The sequence below is a fragment of the Homo sapiens genome, chromosome 7, assembly GCF_000001405.40.
Source record: "Homo sapiens chromosome 7, GRCh38.p14 Primary Assembly".
Taxonomy (NCBI): Eukaryota; Metazoa; Chordata; class Mammalia; order Primates; family Hominidae; genus Homo; species Homo sapiens.
The window spans coordinates 136,896,349-136,921,335 of record NC_000007.14 but is presented as its reverse complement, the minus strand read 5'-3'; the positions used below and the strand labels follow the sequence as shown (position 1 = coordinate 136,921,335).

Here is a 24,987-nt window from a genome sequence, read left to right as displayed (position 1 = left end):
TGGAGACAATGAAGAGAAGGGATTGAGAGACTAAATTACTATAGGTGTGGACACTTCAGGCACCCAGGATGATGGGAAGACTCAAAGCAGAGTTAAGGAGATTGTGCCAGGTGTAGGAGACAGAACGACCTGGAGGTTAGTAAATGACAGGGGTGAGAAGAAGGAGACAGAACGACCTGGAGGTTAGTAAATGACAGGGGTGAGAAGAGCAAGGTTTGAGCGACAGGAGAGCAGGGTGTTTTCCACCACTGTGTAGAAGAGTCTGGAAGCATTTTCTAGGAAGCTTGGAGGACTCCAATATCCACATCTCATTCCTGAGGTTCTAGGGCATCTTCCATTTGAGATGGCTGCAGAGAAAGTGGTGCCCCTAAGGGAAAGTAACATCAGAAGTTAGAAGGGATATTTAGGAAAACAGCTAAATATCCTCCCTCTCACACGTCTCCTTGGGAAGGAGAATTTTTCGTGATAGTAACAAGAAATGTGAAGGTGATGGTGGAAAGCTTTGGCAGAAGTGAGCTGATGAAGAATTTGAAGAGGAAACACTGAGTGTCATGAGTTTGAGACCACAGAGGAAACTGAGTCACTAGAGGCTTTTTGAGCTTATGCTTTGAGAAACAATGATAGGAATCTAAGGTGTGATGAGCTTAAGGTGGCTATAATTGCTTTTCCCAAAATAATTAACATGCAAATATGGTTTACACATGCTTAGGGTGTAGAGAACAAAAGAAGTGTGGCCCAGCCTGTAAGGGCAAAAGGCAGTAGGGCAACAGACCCCGGGGTCAGTGCCTTCATGATTCCCCCAGAGATGTTCTAAGCTGCAGTTTCAATATGCCATCTAGAGCCTCAAAAATGTGGTCAGTATAAATTCACAATGCAGAGCTGATGAGCTCCACTCATCACTGATGATGAACACAGTATGTTCTCAGACTATGTAAATGAATGTGAGACCTCATTTGAGTTCAGAATCTCAGTCACTTGCAAACATGGGTGGTCAACTACTTAATCACTTCATTATGCACCCTCGATTTGTTTTACTAATAACTATAAAATAAAGGAGCTGAGGTGCAAAATGTTTCACTATCATAACTAAGGGGACACACAGAGTTCATATGTTGACAGCAACAGCTGACAAGAGCCTGAAAAAACAGGAAAAGATGAAAAAACCTGAAAATCAGTCACAAAAATGCACAGCTATCAGAATAGCAGGGGTTATTTCATTAAGGTTGAAATGTCACCATATAAGGTTGAAATGTCACCATATAAGATTGAAATGTCACCATATTTCTGCATCCCCTGGGAGCTTCACTACATTGCATTTTCTAATCCTATAAGCATTTTTGAAGTAGTATGAAATCCTAGTTATTGAGAAACATTGAGGAATACAGGGAAAAAAAAGACCACGTCACCATGAGATAAATATCTAGAGAAATAAACAATCCGAAGGTCAATGACCACTTTGACTGAAGTATACATAAGAACCCAATAGAGCTGAAAGGGCCAAAATAATAAAAGTTAAGGTGGGTAACAAGTCAGAAGAAGCTTAGTGCAGGATGTGAAACAAATAGAATCATGAAAGTTGAGTGGGTGATTGCCCCTAGAAATGGAGAGAAAGGGCTTTCTGGAAAAGTAGAACACCAGAGACATAGACCTGTACAACACCACGGTACATTGGGGGAACTATACATGGGTTTATAGGGTCACAGAATTAAGCATGGTAGGGAGAGAGAGAATAAACTGGAGTGGTAAGTAGAAACATGATTTTGAAGGACTTATTAGAATATGGACTTATCCTATAGGTAACAGAGGTTATTGAAGAATTCTAAACAGGAGAACAACTTGACTAGGTTTGCAAGTTAGTAAGAGCATATTCGCTTCCTTATAACTATGAATGTGAGATTTCAAGTAATTTGAATACTAATTAATATTCTAATATTTATTTTAATTATCAAATTAAGGTAAACCATATTCACTAGAGCTTTAGAATGTATGATAATATCTAACATGTAAAGAAGTACTTCTATCTGATTGAAAAGTTTAGTAAAAGCATCTTGACCTTAGTATGGTCGTATTTAAGAAATTTTAAATTTAAAAGTGCATACCACCACTTTTTGGAAATTCACTTCTATACTGTGAATGTCATTTCTTCCCCAGTAATGCCAGACAAATGATTGTCTTCGTACAGTGTCTTGAACCAAGAACAAGAAAGATAAAATATTATAACATGTCTTAGGGGTCTCCAAAAGTTGTCTATTCAGGATAATATAGAGAAAAATGGCCGATTCTTTTCTGCCACGTTGCACTTTAGAAATAGCTAGCTACACAAAAGTTCCAAATATTAATTGCCTGGACAAAGTATTTATACCATTAATGATAGCTATTTATCCAGTACACTCAGATTTCCACTTTGTTAAGAAACCTTTCAGCAAGATTTTCTCATCTTTATACTTCCTTATGCAATGGCATAGAGGACCTCAGTTTGCAGTTCTCTCCAAGGAGAGAACAGATGAAACCCAGTCTCTATTAAAATATATCAGTGGCTGCTGGAAGTTTCTCTATAACACCAGCCTGGAGAATCAACAGTCTTACTGACAATATCAAATCTGTCACTTCAAGCCTGGCATGGTGGCATGCACCTGTACTCCCATGACTCAGGAAGCTAACAGGGGAGGATCACTTGAGCCCAGGAGTTTGAGACCAACCTGAGCAACGTAGGGACACTGTCTCTAATAAAATAAATAAGTAAATAAATAAATATTTTTTTAAAAAACTGTTACTTCAGGGAAATATTTTCAGCAAATGGTTATGAGCCACTTTACGAGCATGAAATTCTGAGGGTAGCAACAGTGAGATGGGTGAACACAGGAGTATGAATTATAAAAGACTTTATATCTTAGAATTTAAGTATAGTTTTAAGGTAAAATTCAGTCACCTAACTTTTTACTGCTCTTTATTATGAAAAGATGAAACAAAATACTAGTTGTTAGTAACTAGTAATTTTAAGTCACAATTTCATCAAATATCCATATGTTAAATAGAGGACCTTAGGTATGAGCTGAAGTAGAGAATTTCAACTTTCTGTCTCTTTTAAATAATGAGATATAAGGACTCATTATGTAATTCATTAGCTTGAGAAACCCTTCCAAGGCACCTAAAACTTTAAAGTGAACAGCACCGAGTTTCAGTGCTTTATGATCTGGTTGGGAAGACAAGGCGTTATATTCCACATGGACATGGTGGTCCTTTCTGTTTTCTGTTCCTTCATTCATTTTCCCCATTCCTTAAAACCTTTCTCTCTTTCTCAGTAGAAATCAGTTATTTGCTAAAACAAAGGTCTTATGTGTCATGTGTCTACTTTTATTGAGTTTTCAAGTTGATCATGTCTGCTCCATGATGGATTGTTCATTAGGTACATTATGCACATGAGTAAGACCTCAGGAAAACAAAACAAAATATTCATATCCTATCTGACTGTACTTACCTTTTTAGGCTAGATTCCAACTACTCCTTTACCCTAATAAGCCTACCCAATAAGCCTATTGGCCAATCAGTTATGAAGAGAGAAATGTTCTCAATGGGAGGATGTGATGGAAATTTTTAAAAAATCCTGTATCATAGCTTTTCCCAGTCTGGTCTTGTATTTTCTGGGGAGATGGTGATATTGATTCGCAGTTGGGTTTAAATGCTTAAGATTGTACATTAGCGCTGGTGAAAGCTGGCAGCAATCCGGCATCCATCCTTGTTTACCTCATTCTGTCCTTGCAAAAAGTAGTAAATGTGTGCAATATAGTTCTAATGGTTTAGTAATGCAGAGTGGAACCCTGGGAGACATAGCCCGTTGATCTCTCAGGATCCCTTTATGATTCTGGCCCTGTGGACAAGCCAGCAACCATCCTCTCCTTTCAGTGGATCAAGCAGTAATATGTTCTCACACTGTTATGAACCAACAGGAGGCAAAGAGATGCATGTAGCTTATTATCCACACATCACTTCCCCACATCAGACGATAGGAAAGGATAAGAAAATTGAGACTATGGTAATTAATGCTGAACAGAGAAAATATTTGAACATCTAAGGAAGGAAGAGAGGAGAAAGGGGAGGCAAGGAAAGAGGACGGCGAGCAGGTATTAATAGTAAGCGGACAAGCCTACAAATAAAAGAAAGCAAAAAAAAAAAAAGTGAGAAAGCTGAAAATAGTGAATGTCACTGAGTTGTATGTAAAAAATATCATGTTTTCATTTTAAATTCATAACACGCTTATTTGCAAAAAGGAGTTGGTGAAGCTTTAAAATAAAGGCATATATTAGAATCATTAATACAATGGTCAGGAGAGCGGGAGTCAATGAAAAATAGGGAAGAAGTAATAAATAAAAATATATACACAGAATTTTTGTGAAACTGAATTAAAACACTGAGATCTGAGACTAAGTTTCTCGATAACTAAAGAAAGTATACACATATTCATTCACACACACATAGTGACAGAGAGAGAGAGAGAGAGAGAAAGAGAGGGAGAATGATAGAATAAATTGTCAATGTTCCCAATACTAAATTTTAATAAGAATTTAGCTTTTGTATTTTTATATGAAGAACCTAATATAACATAGTACATAGCATTTTTCAGTGGCTGTTTATAAAAACAGGTATATTAATTATATTAATATTAATATATGTAATATTAAAAATGAGGAAACGTTAATAAACAAATTCAAGGATAAAAGAGATAAGCAAATAAAAGGGAACATGTGAGGAGGACAATATAAACTTTGAAGCGGAATGTGGATATAGAGGAAAAATTAGAATACAGAAAAAATCTTGCGAGAACAGAAACAGAGTAGGCATAAAATAATTTTCAATTAAATTAAGTAATATGGTCCTCAGAATTCATATTATGAGGGCATCTTATAGATAAAATGATATTCTTTAAATATGAAAGAAAAATAAAATAGCCTCTTCAATGAAGTCCAAGGCAGACCTGTTATTCTATAATAAATGTTTTTCTGTAGAGGATAGTATATTATTTAAAATGAGGATTAAATGTATTCATCCTTATGTTGAGTTTTTCTTATTTCTAAGACAAGATTTGATTTTAGTTATGCTGCTGCTTTCTGCTGCATTTAATCAGACTGCGTTTAATTGATACACTTATATCACTCCCAATAATAAGAGTTCTCATATGAAAACCAAAATATAGGAAAGTTAGAACAATATTCTCCCTACAAACAGTGCATAGTCCAGCTGAAATGTGGGGAATTATATAGTAATGGTTCCTGTGAATGGGGCCTGCACCATGGGGTTAGATTATTCTTTTCCCTATGAATTCAACAACAATATATAAGTACCCACAATGGGACAGGCTTGGAAATTGACAGAATTTATACAAAGATGAATAGGATAATATAAGCTCCTAATTTATGTAAGAAAATAAGATTCTCCAATACGCACTTTCACTATTTCAAAGAACCAAAAAAAAAAAAAAATGTTTCTTTTCAAAATGCTTCCTGATTTGGAAAACATAACTTGTGCTTGCCATATTTTTTATTGTTTGGAGTCATTATATACTGAATTCACTGAGGTTGGCGCATTGGCAGTGTGGACAAGAGTTCTGTCACAAAGAATAATAGTAGACATTTTTCTGTTAGCCTTCCTTTCTCAGTATTGCTACCAACATAACCCTCTCTCTCAATTTAGTAATTGTGAGTAGGCATTGGAACTAGTTGATATATGTAAGTCTAGAGAAGAAATTCTAGTTGAGAGGTTATAAGATTCTTCAATCTCCCTATAAACTAGAACATGTTCCAATACTTCAAAATTCTTGATTTCTTAATAATATATATAAAACATAAAATGGGATTAATATACCCACATTACTGATCACTTCAATTAAAACCTATCAGTCAATTCAAGGAAGGTAAATTAGTCACATCAATGATTCATTATAGTCTCAGGAATTGGAAATTAAATAGACTTTTCTCAGTGAGTAAATTATGCAGTAACAATCTGATGGTGTGCATGCACAGCCTTAATTAATTAGTTCAGTTGAACCCAAGATTGATAATGTAAGACTGTACTTTATAACTTTAAGAAAATTATTTAACTTTACTAAATCATTTCCCCTAATAGTTGCCTTTCCCTTAAGTATCAAAATGAGACTTGCCGTAGCTACACATTTCTCTTCCTAAATATATCCCTTTAATCCTGAAGTACATTTCTTAACCAGAATGATGTCAGCATTACAGTAGAAGCCTGTAATTCATTAATGATGCTAACTCCTAAAAGTCATAATCTAAAACTCCTACATGTCATACTCTTCATATAGGGCTGACACTTTGTTGAGTGCATTATCCCCTCTCTCTAGTTCACTAGCACTGTAGGATCACAATTCTTTTTGTTAGAAATCAGCAATAATCTAAAAGAACCAATGCCCTTCTTATGAAACTAAAAGTATTTAAGAGTTAATTTGCCATTCACTCAGCAGAGTCTACTTCATTATAATAACAAACATTTGTATGTAATTTACAATTTACCAAAACCTGTCATTTGCATTATCTCAGCTATTCCCCTTGAATGGTTCAATATGGGAGATAAGGTAGGTTTGATTAACATCCCTATTTTATAAATGAGAAAGCTGAGGCTCAAAAAAATTGTATTGCTTTTTAGAACTATCCAACATATCATCAAGGTGGCACTTGAATCAGAAAACGTAACATTTTTTCTCTGATATAATACTGCCTTAGTTTCTCTGATATAATACTGCCTTATTTTCTCCTATATAATACTGCCTTATTTTAAAGGGACATATTCTGACTCCATCATGGGCTGCTCCAGGTGCAGGTTATGATGCTCCTGCATGATTCTATTCAGAAGTGAGAAAAGTGAAGCCATTCCCAGGTGGATACCCAATGTGAATGCCTTATAGTACTTTCCAAAGAGCTCTGCTCTGCTTCTCTGAAATAGGCAGGCTGACAGTGCTTATTATTTTACTAACCACTATCATATGCAATAAAGAATGAAAATTGTAATTGTTTTTCTTTCAAAGATAACCTTTCTTTAGATGCTGTTTTATGAACCATTTGCAATCACCTGGAGACTAGATGAGTTTGAGGTTGCCACTTCAGTGATTGCGTAATCAATTGAGAAAAATTGCACAGACTGGGAAAGGAGACTAACAATTGAAACAATAATAAAATGAAATAAAAGGAAGCGGAGGTAAGCAATCACATGTGTATTTTTGGAATCCTGATGCGAGATAGGAGATTGAGTTAGGCAGGAGAGAAAAGAAGTTAAAGTTGGGTTTCAAGGTAGTGTTTATGAATCTTTTGAAATAAGATCAAGATTTTTCATCCGATACATTAAACTGACACTTAATAAATAACCAAATGGGTAAGGCACTGTTCTTGGCACAATGTACTGTCAATCCGAATAGATATAGTGCTGCATTTGAAAATGAGTTTTGAGAAATAAGCCAGAAGTGGGGGTAGTAAACTCTAATGGAAAAAGAAGGATGGTTATAGTCAGAATCCCAGATATGTCCATCTACACCTTTGATCATTTCTCTGGGCTTCAGCTTTATAATTTTTTAAAATAATACCCACTTCACAGCATTGTTTCAAAAAGCAAATGTCATTGAAGTGATAAGCAGTTAGTAGGCACTCAGAAATGGTAGTTCATAAGTTATTAGGGCAACAGAGTGAGACTTCGTCTCAAAAAAAATTACTAGGTTTTGGTTATTTTGGTGATTAGGTTTTGGTTATTTTGGTGATTAGGTATTGGTTATTAGGTCAAAGGTATTGGCAAAGTTACCTTATTACACATCTACAATCTTTGAGAGAAACAGTTCAGATATATTTGCTGTGGATGTAAGCTGAGAAGAAATATCTCCTCAAAACTAGAGGAATGTGTTATAGAGATCTCCTCTAGAAACTGACAGATTACTTCTGTTAGGTTCCCAAGGAATTTTTGTTTCTGAAAATGGATTCTTTTAAATAACTCCTTCCTGTGGAAATAGAAAGCTGGTATTTTGCCACCTTGAATAATAGATAGGCTAATCCATTATTTATTTTATTTTTATTTCAAATCTTTCAATCAGAATAATGCCAGCCACAAAGAAGATGCTCAAAGGCATTTATTATGTAAATTAATGGAATAATCTGTTTTATATTATGAAAGCATTTGGATAGGTATTTAATACTCAATTGTTATACAGTTTGTCAGGAGCTTAATGTATTATAAATGCAGTAGTTATAAATTTATTTACTATGAAATAACATATAAAAATCAGTTTTCCACTTGTATTCTAGGTTTTCTTTCTGTCTTTTCTACATAATAGTGATGGGCTAAATTAAAACAGTAATTATACTAACATAATAACACTTACTGAGGGTTATGTGCCAAGCATCACAGTCAACTCTTCACCAGATTATCTCACTTAGTTGGTATAACAACCCTATGAGATGTGTATCATTACCGCGTTTCATAGAGGATGAAACTAAGGCTTAGATACATTAATGCTGTGTATGTTGTTATTTGTTTATTTAAAATCAAATAGCAGCTTTGTGTTAGGAATGGTAAACATTTATCTGTTTTAATTATCTTTTTGTAATTAATATCTATAGGATGTCTTAGGCTCCAGTCTTATTGTTCATCAAAAATAATAGCACTTTAGGTGGTAAGGTTTTTACCACCTAAGAAGCAATATCAAGAGCTGGAAGTTCTGGGTTCAAACGGTGGCTCTGCTACCCATTGATAAGATAAGAAAGAGGAGGCCTTTTACATGTCCTGACGACTTGTTCCCACCAAATAGAGTGACGGTACTGTTAAGTGTGATGAAGAGACTGCAGTGAAAGGACAGGAAGAGGGCACAGGGTCTGAGTTTTCTCAGGACAGGAAGTGGGATTTATCTTTCTCTCTCTCAAAGAAATATTTTTGTTCTTGCTATGATATACATGGATCAGCAAGAGGACATTCTTTTGGGCATTCTGTTGGAACCACAGCAGATAATTTAAGATAACTCATGATAGGTACTCAATAAATATTTGTTAAATTGACTATTTGTAGAAGGCTGAAAAAAGTCAAATTCCAGTGATTATTTTTTCTTTGACAGCACCCAATATTTAGAAGTAAATATTTAAGCATATCTTGCTCAAAGAGAGCCACAATGCTATTGAAAGAGAAGGGGTTAGAAACTTTCAATTATCTTTATGATATTAAAAAAAATCCTATAAAAAGACAACCATATGAAGATATAAAAATTAAGACCTGTCTTTTAATCACCTTTTTATTGCAAAGACAAAATTGTAATAAAAATTGTTATAAAGAAAATGAGAAATCACCATTAGCCCATTATTCTTAATTTATTTTTTGAAAGTATTATCCATAGAAATAACTTTTTAAATATGGTTATAATATGTAAAAAATGGAAGAATTTTATGGATGATAGTGTGAGAATTCAATGGAATCGATGGAAAAAGCAGATCCTCCTTTACACACAATATCTAATAAGCTGCCTTAAGCCTTGTCGTAATCCACATTTATAAAAATATCATTGTATGAAGGAGAAAAGAAATAAGAAAAACTCAGATTTACCTGAATTACAAATCCTACATAAAAGAGACAAGAAAATTCGACATGTAAACAGGTTTGAAAACGGAAAAATGGATTAAACGGAGACATTTAAAGGACATTTTAATGACCTAGATTGTGACTAGTTGCTGAGTTCTCTCGTCACCAAGTGCAGTCATTGCCACTTGGTGGCTCCTTCTTCCAACCCAGTATGTACGTGAAGATACAGCCCAAGGTTCCAAATACATTAGTCAGCCGAGCATGCTGGTGAGAAGCATGGCTTTGAGTCCCAGCCCTGCCAGAAACTAGTTGTATGACACTGGGCAGGTTACTAAATATGTATTCTGATCCTTAGTTTCCTCAAATGTAAATTGAGAAACATAATGGCATTTAATTTATAGAGTGGTTAGATTTGTCAAATACTTATCCAAGTACTTAATACACAGAAAACACTATATAAATGTTATCTTTGCATTTTTCTTGTTCTTTTTGGTGCTATGATTAAGATGTTATCAATCTAAGATAATATTTTACTGGATACATTACTAGATATTATTAATACATGTTCAGTTATGGTATTATTTGTATGAAGTGATAAAACATTATTTTTTATCCATATCATTGCTGAAACCCAACTCTTAGTTTGCTGAATAAAAAAAATTACTCACTAAATGAATAACTTAGGATCATTATACAGTAAGGCTGTTGGTTCTGTTTCTTCTCTTAAACTAAGCCTATTTGAGTGGAAGAGATCAGAAATAGCTAGTTTTCTCTGTAAGTGACAAAAAACATGAAATGTCAGCTCCACTTCTTAGCAATAGAATTTGTATATGGGGACATATAAAATATGAAGCAACAACGAAATTTAAAATACACCATTTGGAATGACAACTGAGTGACTATAATTTGAATGATTTCATTTGGCACCAAGTTTCTCTCTCTCTCTCACACACACACACACACACACACACACACACTTAATTTTAAATAACCACACCAAACCCCAAGAATGATACAGTCAGGAGTTAGAAACTACTCATCACTAACAAAACAGAAAAGTAGCAACAACGATTTTAAAAAGCCAGATTTCAGTTTTCAAAGACAACATGCTGGTGAAAGGTGGGAGAGGAAAGAATGATGGCAGGTTTAGCTGTGCACAAGTGTGTACACACCTTCAATCATGTTCCTTTTTATGTCCTCCCTTAATAAATATGGAAAACTTTATTCTGTGAATCTCAGTGATGAAAAGAGATCTGCAGTCTTCACATCTTACAAAGGTGACAGGTGTAGTAGCTGAGCCAATAAAGCATTTGGTGCTTTCATATAAGGGCCTTAAAGTTCTGAAAGATTATTCAAAATCCTGTCAGAGAACCCATCTTATTGCTACAATAATGACTTGGCTTCAATTCAAACTCCCTGAAAATAAGGAAACACTAGGGTCATGTAGACATAGAATGTTACTAAAAGAATTAATATGTGTACTGTATGTTTACTATGCTAATCAAATAGTAGGTAATTAATATCAGCCGAGAGTTTATCAAGTAATAACACTTTATATATCAGGAACCTGGCAATGCATTAAATATTAAATATAAGGTGATTAAACAGGCATCTTTTTGTCTGCTTGAATTGCCTAAATTATCCAAATACAATGTTGTCTTTACTCTCTTCCCTAATTACCTGCCTCCCTGGCCCTAGCTCCAGCCCAACCCCTCACCTTGGCTAAAAATCACATTTGCCACTACTCACTCAGTTACTAAACAGCGTTTGGTGTGTGTGTGTGTTGGGGGGGGTGTATGTGTATGTACAGTTTTATCATGGAGGAAAAATGTATCCAACCAATAACACTTTTTCACCCATTGTTTGTTATACTCTGCAAATGAACTAGTACGAGATGATTTTAGTATCTTAAAATCAATCCTTCTCTGACAAAAAGTGGTCTGCTACAAATGTATTTTTATGCATATTTATATAAATTTGTGTTAGTTATATAAGAAATAAGTATACATGTACATGTAAATTGAAGAAGGAAGTGCATCTAAAGGTGTATGGTTAGGTAGGTTTGCATATAAGACTCTATATAAACATGCTTGAAGTGCATGACAGTATGCATATATGTGTGTATGTGTATGCATGTACATATATACATACAGCACGTCTTCTTGGGACATAGTTTGGCATAATAATAAACCTGACATCTGCAGCTGAATTTTTGCATTAAAATCCTAGGACCAATATTCATATGCTGTGACAACCTGAGATAGTTATCTGAACTCTTTTTGCCTTAGTGTCCTCATCTACAAAGTGAACATAAAATTATTACCTAACTCATGAAGTTGTAATGAAGGTTAAATAAAGTAACCCTTTAACAGCCTTAGACCTGGCATATGGTAATCAGTAAATACTATCGTCTGTTACCATCTCTCCAAAAATGCAAGAGCACATGCTTTGATAAATATAACTCTATGTGCCATGTATGTGTCAGAGAACAAGATTGTCTGTGAGTACAAGATTGTGAGTACATGTATTATCTTCTCCTTTTTGTTTATCACAAATATTTCTCACAAATATCCATCATGAGAACAAAATAATAATAAGAGTTGGAAGCAATTATTGAGCCCAGAATAATTCCCATGTCAATGAGATGAAATTCCAGTGGGATTCATGTATGTCCCTGACTGATCAGCATATGAAACATATTATCACATAACTAGCACACAAAAACAGAAAGCATAAAATCACAGCAAAGACTCGTCAACTCATTGAGAAAACAAAACAAAAAACTCATAATTCAAAGGAATGTAAAAATCTCCCTGTCACTCAATGCCAATATTAGTGATTGACTAGGCATTTCAAATTCTGTGCGTAGTAAGGCAATATCACCCATATTTTAGAGATGTCGATTTAGCTTTGGGTCTACAAGTCTATTCTCTAATACTTATTTCATCTCTTTCCTTCACTGACATGGGGGAAACTTGTAGATCGTGAAAATAGATTTTTTTGCTTTTGCAGGATACTCATCAACAAAATAACTAAAATTTATAGATAAATTAATTCCGTCAGAAATTTGGCTTTGAAAATCAGAATGGACTTGCTCATTTTGAATGAGGAGTAATACCTGATCATTCAAAACTTAGTCATTGGCTGTCAGAGGGAAGAGAAGAGATAAAATTATTCAGTGAGTATGAGAATGCTCGATTCTACCTAATGTATAAAGAAAAGTGGCCTCACCTGTGTCAGCCAACGGCTTCAGTTTTCTACTTTATAGGCTGATCAAATCTTCACCACAGTCTATATTTAAAAATCCAATTAACAGAGAGGTATTGCAATAATGTAATCTAACTATAAATTTGTTTATGAGTAAACACAATTACTTATGCCCTGTCTTACTGAGTCTTCAGTCCAAACATGCTAATGCTAAAGTATTGAGGTGGTATTGCACAGTAGTTAAGAATAAGAGCCTCGTAACTATTCATTTCTTAGATGTTTAACCTTGAGCAAATTACTAAAGACTCATTTTACTTAAGAAGGATGACGTAAAACTGTTCTGCTGGACGTACAAGATAGAAGGATGATCTAAAACTGTAATCTCATACAGCTCTTTTGAGGTTTAAATAAGTTAGCAACTAGAAAGGGCTTAGAATTTCAGGCATACTAAGTCCTTAAACATGTAATGGGTATGATTTTTATTATTCTCTATGCTTAGAAGGCTCTTTTTTCCACTTCCCATCAATAAATTGATAGTCATACTTGAAGTATAAATTCAACTTATTTCTTTGCAAATCTTTCATGACATCTCCAAAGAAGTCAAGCCATTATTCCTTAGGGAGGAATGGAGAAGCATCACTTTGGAAAGGCAGAATGATACTGGTCATAGAAACAAAACGAGGTAGGAGACGGAATATCCCCTGCTCTGGATCAGAGAGCGTGGTGAGTTCTACTCTCCCTTTCTTGAATCTCCGTTGGCACCTTCGTAGTCTGGGGAGAGAGAACTTAATGGGTTGCAAAGAAAGTTTTGCAAAACTTGAGAAAATACAGGAATAAGATTTTTTTTGTTGAAACTTCTTTTTATTCTTTGACCTGGTAATGCCTATTTTGTAAGTATGTTTGGCTGAGACAGTGTACAAAACAGAAGCATATTACATAAGCTGCCCCTAGGCTCAAGAGAGAGGCACAATGGGGCACTTTCAATTTCATGATTCCTAGATATGAAAAATTTGGAGATTCAAGAAGAAATTTGGAAATAAAAAATATCACTTGAACTAACTAGAACATTCCTGATTTGGTGCTTCTTGATAATCTGAGTGAGAAAGTGAAGAGCTTAGACTATTTCTCACAAACATCCATTCAGTTGAGTGATGAGTTCTCAGCTTCCATCAAGACGAACCATCCCAGTTCATGGCCAGAGAGAAGGTCAAGCAACTGTTGTTCGTGCCTTCACTTTTATGAACTGGCTAATACACACTTACAGTCTTGAAGTACAGAAAGTTTTGAATTCAAGATTTTTGTAGTCATCTAAAGCAGGGGTCTTCAACCCCAGGCCACAGACCAATACTGGTTTATGGCCTGTTAGGAAACAGGCCACAGAGCAGTAGGTGAGTGACAGCAAGCGAAGCTTCATCTGTATTTACAGCCACTGCCCATCACTTGCATTACTGCCTGAGCTTCACCTCCTGTTAGATCAGCAGCGGCATTAGATTATCATAGAAGCACAAACCCTATTGCGAGCTGCATATGTGAGAGATCTAGGTTGTGTGCTCCTTATGAAAATCTAATGCCTGATGACCTGTCACTGTCTCCCATCACCCCCAGATGGGGCCATCTAGTTGCGGGAAAAGAAGCTCAGGGCTCCCACTGATTCTGCATTATGGTGAGTTTTATAGTTATTTCATTATATATTACAATGTAATATTAAAAAAAAGGGCACAATAAATGTAATGCCGTTGAATCTTCCCAAAACCATCCATCCCCAACCCCGGTTTCTAGAAAAATTATCTTCCGGGAAACTGGTCTCTGGTGGCCAAAAAGGTTGGGGACCACTGACCTTAAAGTGACCACTGACCTTCATATGTGAAGGCAATGGAAATATATACCTAGATATGCATTCGCTCAAAATATTAAGTTTATTAAAACAAAACTAGTATTAAATAATTGTTCAAGAAACTGAATTAGAAAAAAAATTACAAATATATCCTGCTATATAAGGACTCATATAAATCACTGAAACAAAAGTTAGCAAAGTAATAATTCTACAGTATAAGGCAAATGATTTAAAATATTGGAATAAAAACCAAATGTGTGGTTTAAAAAAACCAAATGTGTGGAATAAAAACCAAATGTATACATATACACATACACACACAAACACATATTACATATGTATAATACATACATATATAAATATAATACATACATATATGTATAACATATGCATATATATACAAACCATGTATATGTGTGCGCACACATACATACACACACATTTGTTTTTATTCCAATATTTTTAATTATTTAATCACACATATATATGTATAATATGTACATACATACAAACCATATATATGTGTGCGTATATATATATACGTATATACATACAAACCATATGTGAGTATATATGTATATATGTATACATATATACACACAAAACGTGTGTATATATACACACACATATATACATACATATTGTAAATTTTGTTACATATATAAAAAAATTATACGTAACAAAATTTTTTAAATAGTAGTAATTTGACACTAAGACTCTACATAATATTACCAAAGATCTGAAAATGAGTGTGAAATAAACAAATGCTAATTTGAAAAAAAAATAACATTTTGGTCTTGGCTTTGATAATTTCCAGAAAAACATGGAATGATAAAATACAGTTTTTCAAAGTAAAACTAAGAAGCAATTAAATTTAAAAATATGTATTGATAGATACTCTCGCAATCAATATTTTGAGAAAGTTGAAAAATATGTGGGAGAAAATATTGAAACATAAGGGAAGTAAAAATAATAAAACCACAAAAAAAGAGAAGAGAAAATATGAGAGAATTAAACTACCAATTTAAAAGCAGAGACTGGAAGATCAAAATAAATAAATAAATAAATTCTAATTATAAAATACTTAAAGGGGATTGATCTGAATAAAATGGCACAGATAGTTTAAAATGATGACAAATTCTTTTAGGCAAACTAAAACAGAAGAAATAGGAAGCAGCCATATTAGTTTCAGATAAACTAGAATTACAAGCAAAGTGTACTGAACAGAACAGAGAAAAATAGTTTAGTTATGTATAAAATTCAAAATATGTTTAAAAACCAACAGAATTTGATTCAAACATGATAGGTGCAAAAAATGCAAATACAGCTACAAATCAGGTAGATTTATTTTAAAAAATAAGAACAAAAATAAATGAATAATATAATGAATATGGGAAATAAATACAAATAAAAAACGAGTGCATTTTGTGTGCATGTGTGTGTATATCTTGGCCCTTTTCAACAAAGAAAATGATCTTCAGTTATCCAAACAACTCAAAAACTGAAAAGCTTAGAAAATTCCCAAAATATAGACATTCTAAGACCATATTATTGGGGCAAAATGCAATAAAATTAGAAATTTGTAAGACAATTTGAAATAACAACAAAAGCAACAAACATCTAGCACTTCAGATTTTAAAAATTAAAATTATTATACAAAAAAGAACAACCCAAACTATAATTTTCAACCAATATTAATATTTGTGTTGAACATTTGATTTTGCTATCATCACAGTACTGTACACTTATAAACATATCTCATTTAATCTTACAAAGCACTATAATGTAAATATACTCACTCTAAATTACAAATACAGAAGTGTAGTGAGTTAAAGTCCCTCTCACAACATGTGTGAAACTGTCAGAATTCAAACCTAAGCTCCTTGATTCTAAACCCGTGCTCTTTTTCACCTGGTCTTAGCCAAAAGACTGAAAAGCAGCAAGCCTGTGCTCCCTTAATGTTAACCAGGCTATATTTTAAACATTTAGATGAGACTAAAGCAGTTGTCAGAAACAAATTCATAGCTATAAATGTTCCCAATATTAAAGAAGAAGTATCAAAATTTTATAATGCAGAAGAAACTAAGCTTTAAACTCAAGAAATTATTTTAAAAAGGGAAACAAAAACCTCTACAGAATTAAAAAGAAGTAACTACAAAAGTAAGATAAGTAATAAATTATAAAAATCAAAAGCCACAAAACTCTGGCAAAAAAGCATGAGAAAAACATTTAATATTGGGAAAAAGAAAGGAAAGATAAATTTGGAGAATAATTATTTTAACAGAATCATATGCACAATTATTTGATAAATACTACAAGCATTTTTCTTAAATAGATAATGGTAGCCATCTATAATTTAACAAAATTAATGAGTAGAGATATAGAAAATGTGAATAGGCAAGTGACTTAGAAAAATGTTATAATAATTTTTAAAACTGTTGTAAAAAATGATTTGAGCTTTTTACCAGAAGTTTTCCAGGAAGGGCCATTCAAACATTTAGAGAATTGATCATCGTTCTATGTAAAATTTTCAACAGTATAAGGATGAAGGGGAAGCTACCAATTGGTTTTATATAATCAAGTGATTATGAAATAAATTTCAGCCAAAGATAACTCAAAAATTAAAAAAACAAACTTTTAACTCAGTTTCACTTGCAAATGTAGATGCAAAATGCTTTAGTAAAATGGTAGCAAATGGAATTCAATAGTACATTAAAAGAGTAACATATCATGACAATTAAAGCCATTGGATTTAGAAATGTATTAGTATCAGGAAAACAAATAACATGTCACTTCACATAGTCTGAATAAGAAAATATATATATATGATAATTCCAATACAAGAAAAATAAAACATTTGATAAAGGTCATCTCCTTAATATCATGTACAACACCTACTTTAAACCAAACCCCAAGGCCATATTACTGTTAAAACACTAGTAGAGTTATTAAAACATCACAAGAATGACTGTTTCAGCATTATTAATTAACATTATAAAACATTTAGCCAATTAAAGATATAAATAAAAATGAGAAATATTGTAAAACAGAAGGCGTATTATTTAAGAATAATATGCTGATACACCAACTTTAGAAATCCAATAAATTTAAATTTTAGAAAATTGCAGTCTTAAATGCTAGATTTGCCTGTTACTAAAATTCATTCTGTACATAATTAAAATTCACAAACAAATATTTTACTTATACTTCTATCATTTCTAATCAGCTTTTTAAAAGAGAAATCTTTTAATACTTATTTTCATCCTAGTAGTTTACATTGTGACACCAGCTCTAACAATATCCACAAAAATAACAAATACTTGGATGCTGAGGTGTGAATTTTGTTCCCATTTTTGAAAGCAGGAAGAGTAAGACTTCCTTTTGAAGGAGATTTGCACATACACTATAGAAGACACCCATTTAGTTCTTGGGAAGATGGAGTTGGAAGTGTCCGCTGCTTGTGAACAGCTCAACAGCATGGAGTCCTCCAGGTTGGTGCATCTCTAAACTTGACCCACCTGGAGATCCATGGTGTCGAACAATGAACTTTCCAAACCAGCAAGGCCTCCATAAAGTGAAGGGAGATCCTCTTCACCACCGTTGGTTGAAGAATAAAAAACCTACACCTACACTAGCCCAAATGAGTTTCTGTTGTTTGTCTTCTGTGTCAGAATTTCATTCATTCATTTCCCATCTCTGGCCTATTGTTTAAAGTTGCTGGCCATAATGTATACTTTCCAGACTCCAGGTTAATCCCAGGCTGAGAAGCTTTGTTTGTTTGATAATGAAAAACTGAACAAGGAAACAAGCAAAAACTTGCAAATAATGTGTACCTTATCATAAACATCCAAAGAGTACAAAATTCTGTGCTCTGCAGTTGCTGTATAACAAACATATTAAATTGTACTTGATTGAGCAAATATTTACATCTTACTGTGGAATTTCAAAGTTTAATGTCTACACGTCTTATTAAGGTTGTTATCTATTATTGTATGGTGGAGAAAGGATATCTAGCTGATAGTCATGTTTAAAAACTGACCTGGGTTTGGGACTGCAACCAAATTCTAAGGGCCTAGCTGTTTATGATTTGCCCATTCCATTCAGGGTCGTCCTAATCCCTTCTCAATCTAAGATGCTTCATTCTCACTATAGTTTGCTCGAGAAAGAAAGTGGCTGCTTATGGTATGAGTTCATAAGAGTCATCTAGGATTGTGTTTAATACCCTATCCCACCAGCTTCTAATTTTTACGTGCATTTAATTGGGGCTATATTTGTTAGTTTTCAATTAGAAAGAGACAGATAAAAAGTAAACTGCACACATTATCAGAGGATGCTATAGCTTACCTTCTCACTTATTATGAATTTGCCACCTAAATTCAAACTCTTCTGAAATTTATACCAATTATTAATTCTGAAAGCAATTCTGATTATCTTAATAACTAGCAACTGACTGCAAACATAGAAGGATAGCTAGGTGGATAGATGGATGGATGGATGGATGGATGGATGGATGGATGGATGGATAGATAGATCGATAGATAGATAGATGAGTTTAAAAGGAAGATCACAGAATCAATGTTAGTAGTTAACAATTATTTTTATATTTTGTTTTGAGAGTAGGCTTTGATGGAGCCTAATGAAAGCCATAGAAGAAGCTAAGGGGAGGCTGGACTGTTATAAACAACCCTTCACTTATCTAATACAATTTAACTAAGCTTATCATTTTTTTTTATAGAAAGAGAAATTGATCAGAATCTACTGACAGTTCTTCCTGTCTGGCTGTGTAATGGATTAGCATAGAGACGAGCAGCACACCTCTGTCAGAAAACCTAAATTTAAGTCACATCTCGGGGCTCTAACAATTTACCACCAACAGCGTCTTTGGAGGTCAGCCCCTGAGTCCATGATTCCCCTGTATTATTGGGAAAGAATTAAGAGGTTTTGTGAGTTATGCATGAGATGTGTGTGCAAGTTCTTTGTAAGCTGTAAATCTTACACATTTATGAAATTATCAATGTTGTTATTTTGTAAATGCAACTGATCAAGAGGCTAGGTTCTTACAACAAATGGATCAAAAAGCGTCTGTATGTTCTCAAAAAATAACAATGGAAATGGGGGAAAAAAATGACATCAGGGAATGGCCAAACTGGGTTGCTTAGGGTCCAAAGATCATTGCTATTCAAATCACTGCACTACAAGATCGGGTGAGATCTGCTAATCTGTTTGGGTCACTATAGGTCAGGGCACAGCACATTATAGATGCTAAATAAATGTGTTTTGTATGAATAAATACACATTTTTCTTTTCCTGTAGTCAATATTTAGTGTGTCTATTTTCAAATTTGCCTACGTGGTAAAGCCACAGTGACATTGAAAACTTGCCCTGCAAGTGCCTGTGAATCTGAACTGTCTCAATCTGTTTCTAGCTGGAATGCAGCTAGAACTGCATGCAACCCACTATACCTTTCTATTTTTCCAAGAACCAAAAACCGCAAGTCCACATATTTAATTTCACGTAATTCTCACATGCCTGGATCTTGGAAATGGAATTTTTCCTTTCCCAGGGCACTCGTTTCCACTTTGGGGGTGCCCACACTCCCCGGGCTGTACAGGACAATCTACTGGCTTGCAGGAAGAAAGTATTAGAAACTCCGTTCTCAATTACTGTTATATCATTCTCTAAAAGAGGTTTTTTGTGTATGTACTATGATATACATAATCATGGAAAAATTATTTCTATGTAATTTATAAATAAGAATATATCCATGCCTTGATTGGAGCTCAAAATTCTGTTATGAATAGAGGTGTGTAGCTCACATTCTTGGTACCCTACCCATATCATTCAGATCTTTCAGTGTTCCCCTGCTGACGTCTATATGCCACTGTCTGCTTCTCTGTGTCTGGGGGCTTTTTCAGAAACCTAGGAAGGCCACTCTGCTCACCCTGCACATACGGAAAACCAAAAATGCCTCGGGTGTTTACAGCCTCTAGGAGCAGGCTTTAAATAACAATTCTTTTTTTAAAAAAAAGATTGTTTAGCAGTTGGCAAGATAATTATGAGACGAGCAATTCTGTGCCATTTCTTAGAATGCCTCATGTGTGTAAGCTCCAGTCTCCTCTGAGATGCCCAGCTTAATAGAAACCTTTTTACTGGCAGCCTCTTCTTCCCTTTTCACATCCCCTCCTTCCTAGATGGCTCCTCGCACTTCACAAGTAGAAGTGAGCCTTGTTTCTGGGAGAACCAAACTGAAGTAAGCCTGTGATCAAATCCATCAGATGCTGCTGCTCCAAGCTAAGGCTCCATTCTGTTAGTTTTCAACGCAGCCTCCTGCTCAAAATTACTAACAGGGCAAAATCAGTCTGGTTTTACTTCTCCCTATGGCTAAGTCTAGTAATGTAGTATAATATTAAAAAAAATAGTTAACTTGGCTGCAAAACATTTAGGTTAGTCCTAGGAACTGTTTAAGGGTCTTTGTTTCCTTTCACTAGTATCTTCAGTGTCCACATTGGGCTGCTCTCTGACTCAGAGCCAAGGGTTGGGGAATGTATCACCTGCTGTTGGTGGTGATGATAGTATCAGAAATAAGCCTGTCTTTTGTTCTGACGGAATTTCATTTCTCCTTTTAATTCATGCAAACAAAACCATGGCTCACTAGGTATGTGAGTTTGTTTTTACTTATTTATACAGTCTTCAATGCCTCCCAGTAAATTAAAAAGAAAAATAATAGCAATGAGAAAAACTAAGAACTCTTGTTTAGAGAAGATGATTATTCTAGATAATTTTCAATATTGATTTTTCCCCAGGGATTTGCTAGAGGTATTTGCATGAAACAAGCTTTTTAAACTATGAAGTGTATTCATATCTATGGTTTATCACCTAGCCCATAACTCCTGTTTATATCTTTCCTCCCAAATATTAGCTCTGAAGAAGATCCTGATTTTCTCAAAAACAAGTCATTGAGTTCTACACTGTAAAGCAAGACATGGATTACTACATCCTATATTTTATAATACACATGAACACATTAGGAAGGAGTATGCAGGATTTAATATTCTCTGTATATTTCTGCTACATTGTTTCTAAAGAGAGTAGTGGAATAGTCCTCCTGTATCTTCTATTAATGCCTCCTTACTTCCTTAATTTTGATTGAATTACATATTTTCTGACTCTATGTGACATGAATTACACTTAAACATCATACTTCTTAGCCAACAGATGTGCAAAGTTGTGACATACCTTAGAAAATTTTTCATATTGTTTATCTCATTTGGCTAATAGATGGAAATCATGCAAACTAGTAAGAATTATCTGATAGCTCCTGTATGAAAACTCAAATTTTTCTTAGGAGAAAAACCAATTATTCACATTTTTACTTGGATGAGCATTCACTTGTGGTCAGTGCTATAACAGGAAGATCTCTCAGGGTACCCAATGTGGGATCATTTTTAGTTTGCCAAATGATGAAATTTCCAGACAGAAAGAGCCCTTTTTGAATAATAAATTACTGCAACATATCTACAAGAACACTTCCAAAATAAAAGTGTTCATTTTATTTTAGAGCAAGGGACTTTCCCACTAGCTTAGTATTAAAATTACATGATTGTAATGTATGGGAGATTACTGGGAACATAATCAATATTTTGAAATTTAAAAGTATGTAATATTCCTTTGGGGTAAGTTTCCGAAGAATAACTGTAACACTTTGAATTTGTCTACCACTACAAAGTCATCATAAACCATACATCAACCAACTCAATTTACAGCACCTAAAATTTGCTTCCTATATAAATTAACAGATTAAGTCTTTAGTATAGTCTATTCTTTGGTCAGTGTTGTAAGTATGATCTTATGTTAGAAACCAGATTTAAAACTCCTTGAAATCTCTCACTATTTCATCCATCTTGATAGTGCTTGTTTTCTTCAACAAATAAAAAATAGTGTTTATTTTACTCTTTTGATATACTACTTTGTGTGGCCATTATAGCATCATTTGTTTACTTTCGTGATCAACTTCACTCAGTGTACATTGAGTAAATCTTTTACCCTACTTTCTATTTACTATATACCAGAATATGGCTTGTCCTTTCTGGTCAGCAACTTCTTTCTCTAACCTTGTAAGTGAATTCATCACTAGAACTATTAGTGTCATTCTCTCTCACAGAGCCAAATCAGGTCTCTGCATAATCTGTTAAACACACACAGACACACACACACACACACACACATGCAAACACACATACACACAGGCATGCAATTGAATAGTCAATTCACAGTCTTAGAGACTTAACAATGTGCAGTAATCACCTGTATGAATGATAAATTCCATGTACCAAAAAATGGGTTATTGCTCCAGCCTAAACAATTTCTTCTGCTAGTTGTATTTAGTGCTTGTCATTGGGCATAGCCTATGATCAGATTAAGAGTAGTTTCTAGATTTAACCCTACAATAAGATTGTTTAACAACTGATAAGTTTTTGTTTTTCATTCCCAAAGTACATAAGGCTAACATGAGCTTATCAGATAAGCATTTCAAAAACCATGTATATGGACTATGAGAAATACATAAAACTATTTTATAATTTGCAATGCTAATTGTAAACGAACCCTCTGTTTTTCTGTTAAATTCATTTTCAACTCTTCAGCTAAAGTTTCTAATAACCAGAAGTGAGATTACTTGGGAGGTACATATTGCCATCACTGTGTGGCCATTACTGATATCAGGAGCAATCTCAAAGTGTTTAACAGAGCAATGTGTATCTCAGTGTAAGCTGATCTTTGTGATTACACTACAGAAATGGGCATAGAGATTAGATGTTGATTTGGATAGAGATGACATTTAGAATTTTATTTTCTTTCAGTCAGCATTTTTGTTTTTTTAAGAAACGGCTAAAAATCACATTGAGAGTTGTAAATTATGAACAAAAAATGAAAAGAAATAATGATTAGACTTACACAAAAGCGAAAATGAAGATATGCAGACATGCAAATATGAGCTCTCCCTATGAAATACCACAAAATCCATGTCTGTCTTTTTTTTTTCCCATGACTGTTGTTAATGCTTGCTAAAAATGGCTCGAATAATGGTGCAATCCACCACCCTTTAACTATACTCTGAGTTACACCTATGGTATTCAAAAAGCAAAGGCAGAAAACAAGAAGCAGGGAAATTAATAAAAGATAAACTATTTTCAATTAAGAAAAATGATTAATGCTGCTTTCAGGAGCTCATATATTGCAAATCTGCATCTGTTTGTCACTAGGGACTTTTACCTTCCAAAAGGATACAGCATGAGAACTATTGTGATGGGAACAAGTGTGAGTTGAAAATAAACCGTTTATTTTTAAATGTATATATGCAATAGCAAGTTGTGATTAATATACTGATAACTTCTAAATGAATATTTTTAGTGCAGATCTCTCTAATAAGACTTGCATCTCCAATAGCTTACCCTGATTCTCCTCTTAGATATGCATTGGCTTCCTCAAACACAAATGTTCACAATAAAACTAATCATCCCTCTCATGACACCTGTACCATTTCCATCTGCCTAAGTGCCTACCCTGGAAACCTAACTTCTCTCTATGTCTTCTTTTTTTTTTTTTTTTGGCCAACCTACTACCACCACCACCACACATATTCAACCAACCAGACCAATACATTCTGCTCTTTAATATTTATCTACTCCATCCCCTCCTTGCCTACCACACTGACATTAACTTTGGAAGCCATCACCTTGTACCTCAGTTACTCACCGTGACTCCTTCTTTTCAGTCTTCCCTCTTTCCAGATAATTTTAAATACTTCAAGCAGTGTCATTTTAGAGAAAAACAAATCAATCATATCTCTGTTTTGATGAGCTCTTTAATGACGTTTCACTTTCCTAACCTCAACTTTGTTAAAGTAGTGTCCAAGGCTTTCAAGAATATGTCATTGCCAATGCCTGCAGCCACATCTCCACCACCCTTCCCCTATCTTTCTCTAGTTGAGTCATGATCAACTACTTTAATTTGGCAAACACATCATATTCTCGCTTCTTGTGATTCTTTAGCCTCAGCTGAGATTGCGTGATCCTAAAGGTGTTATTTAGGGTCATGAAAGATGTTTCATTTTTAGTTAGACTCACTCTGAATACACAAATATGAGTGCACATATGAAAACACACACACACACACAATGCAAGGTAGAATTACTATATCCAAAAGCACTGGAGGCTTATTTCTCTCTGGGTTGAATGGGCTTACAATTTAGTCAATGATCATCCAGCTGGAGATTACTACATTCCACCTAGAAAAAATCCTTCAGAGCGAGGAAAACAATGTCGCCCCAGATACACTGGAAGATTTCGTTTAATGCTGTTCTAGACCCCTGGGAATTCAGGAAAACAGTA

General features: G+C 34.2%; 1 protein-coding gene, 1 long non-coding RNA gene and 1 other non-coding gene across 12 annotated transcripts in view; 1 reads left to right on the top strand and 2 right to left on the bottom strand.

Annotated features, from left to right (window-relative positions):
* The window catches only part of LOC349160 (uncharacterized), a 265,569-nt gene extending 243,006 nt beyond the window's left edge, over positions 1-22,563 (top strand). The window contains exons 3-4 of the long non-coding RNA NR_046103.1: positions 19,335-19,486; positions 21,519-22,563. This is a non-coding gene — a long non-coding RNA (uncharacterized LOC349160). The remainder of the gene's footprint in view (positions 1-19,334; positions 19,487-21,518) is intronic.
* Positions 1-24,987, bottom strand: part of CHRM2 (cholinergic receptor muscarinic 2) — a 151,562-nt gene that overhangs the window by 98,878 nt on the left and 27,697 nt on the right. The window lies entirely within an intron of this gene.
* Positions 18,042-18,169, bottom strand: MIR490 (microRNA 490). Its single transcript, NR_030165.1, has one exon. It is a non-coding gene; the product is annotated as a microRNA 490 (primary transcript).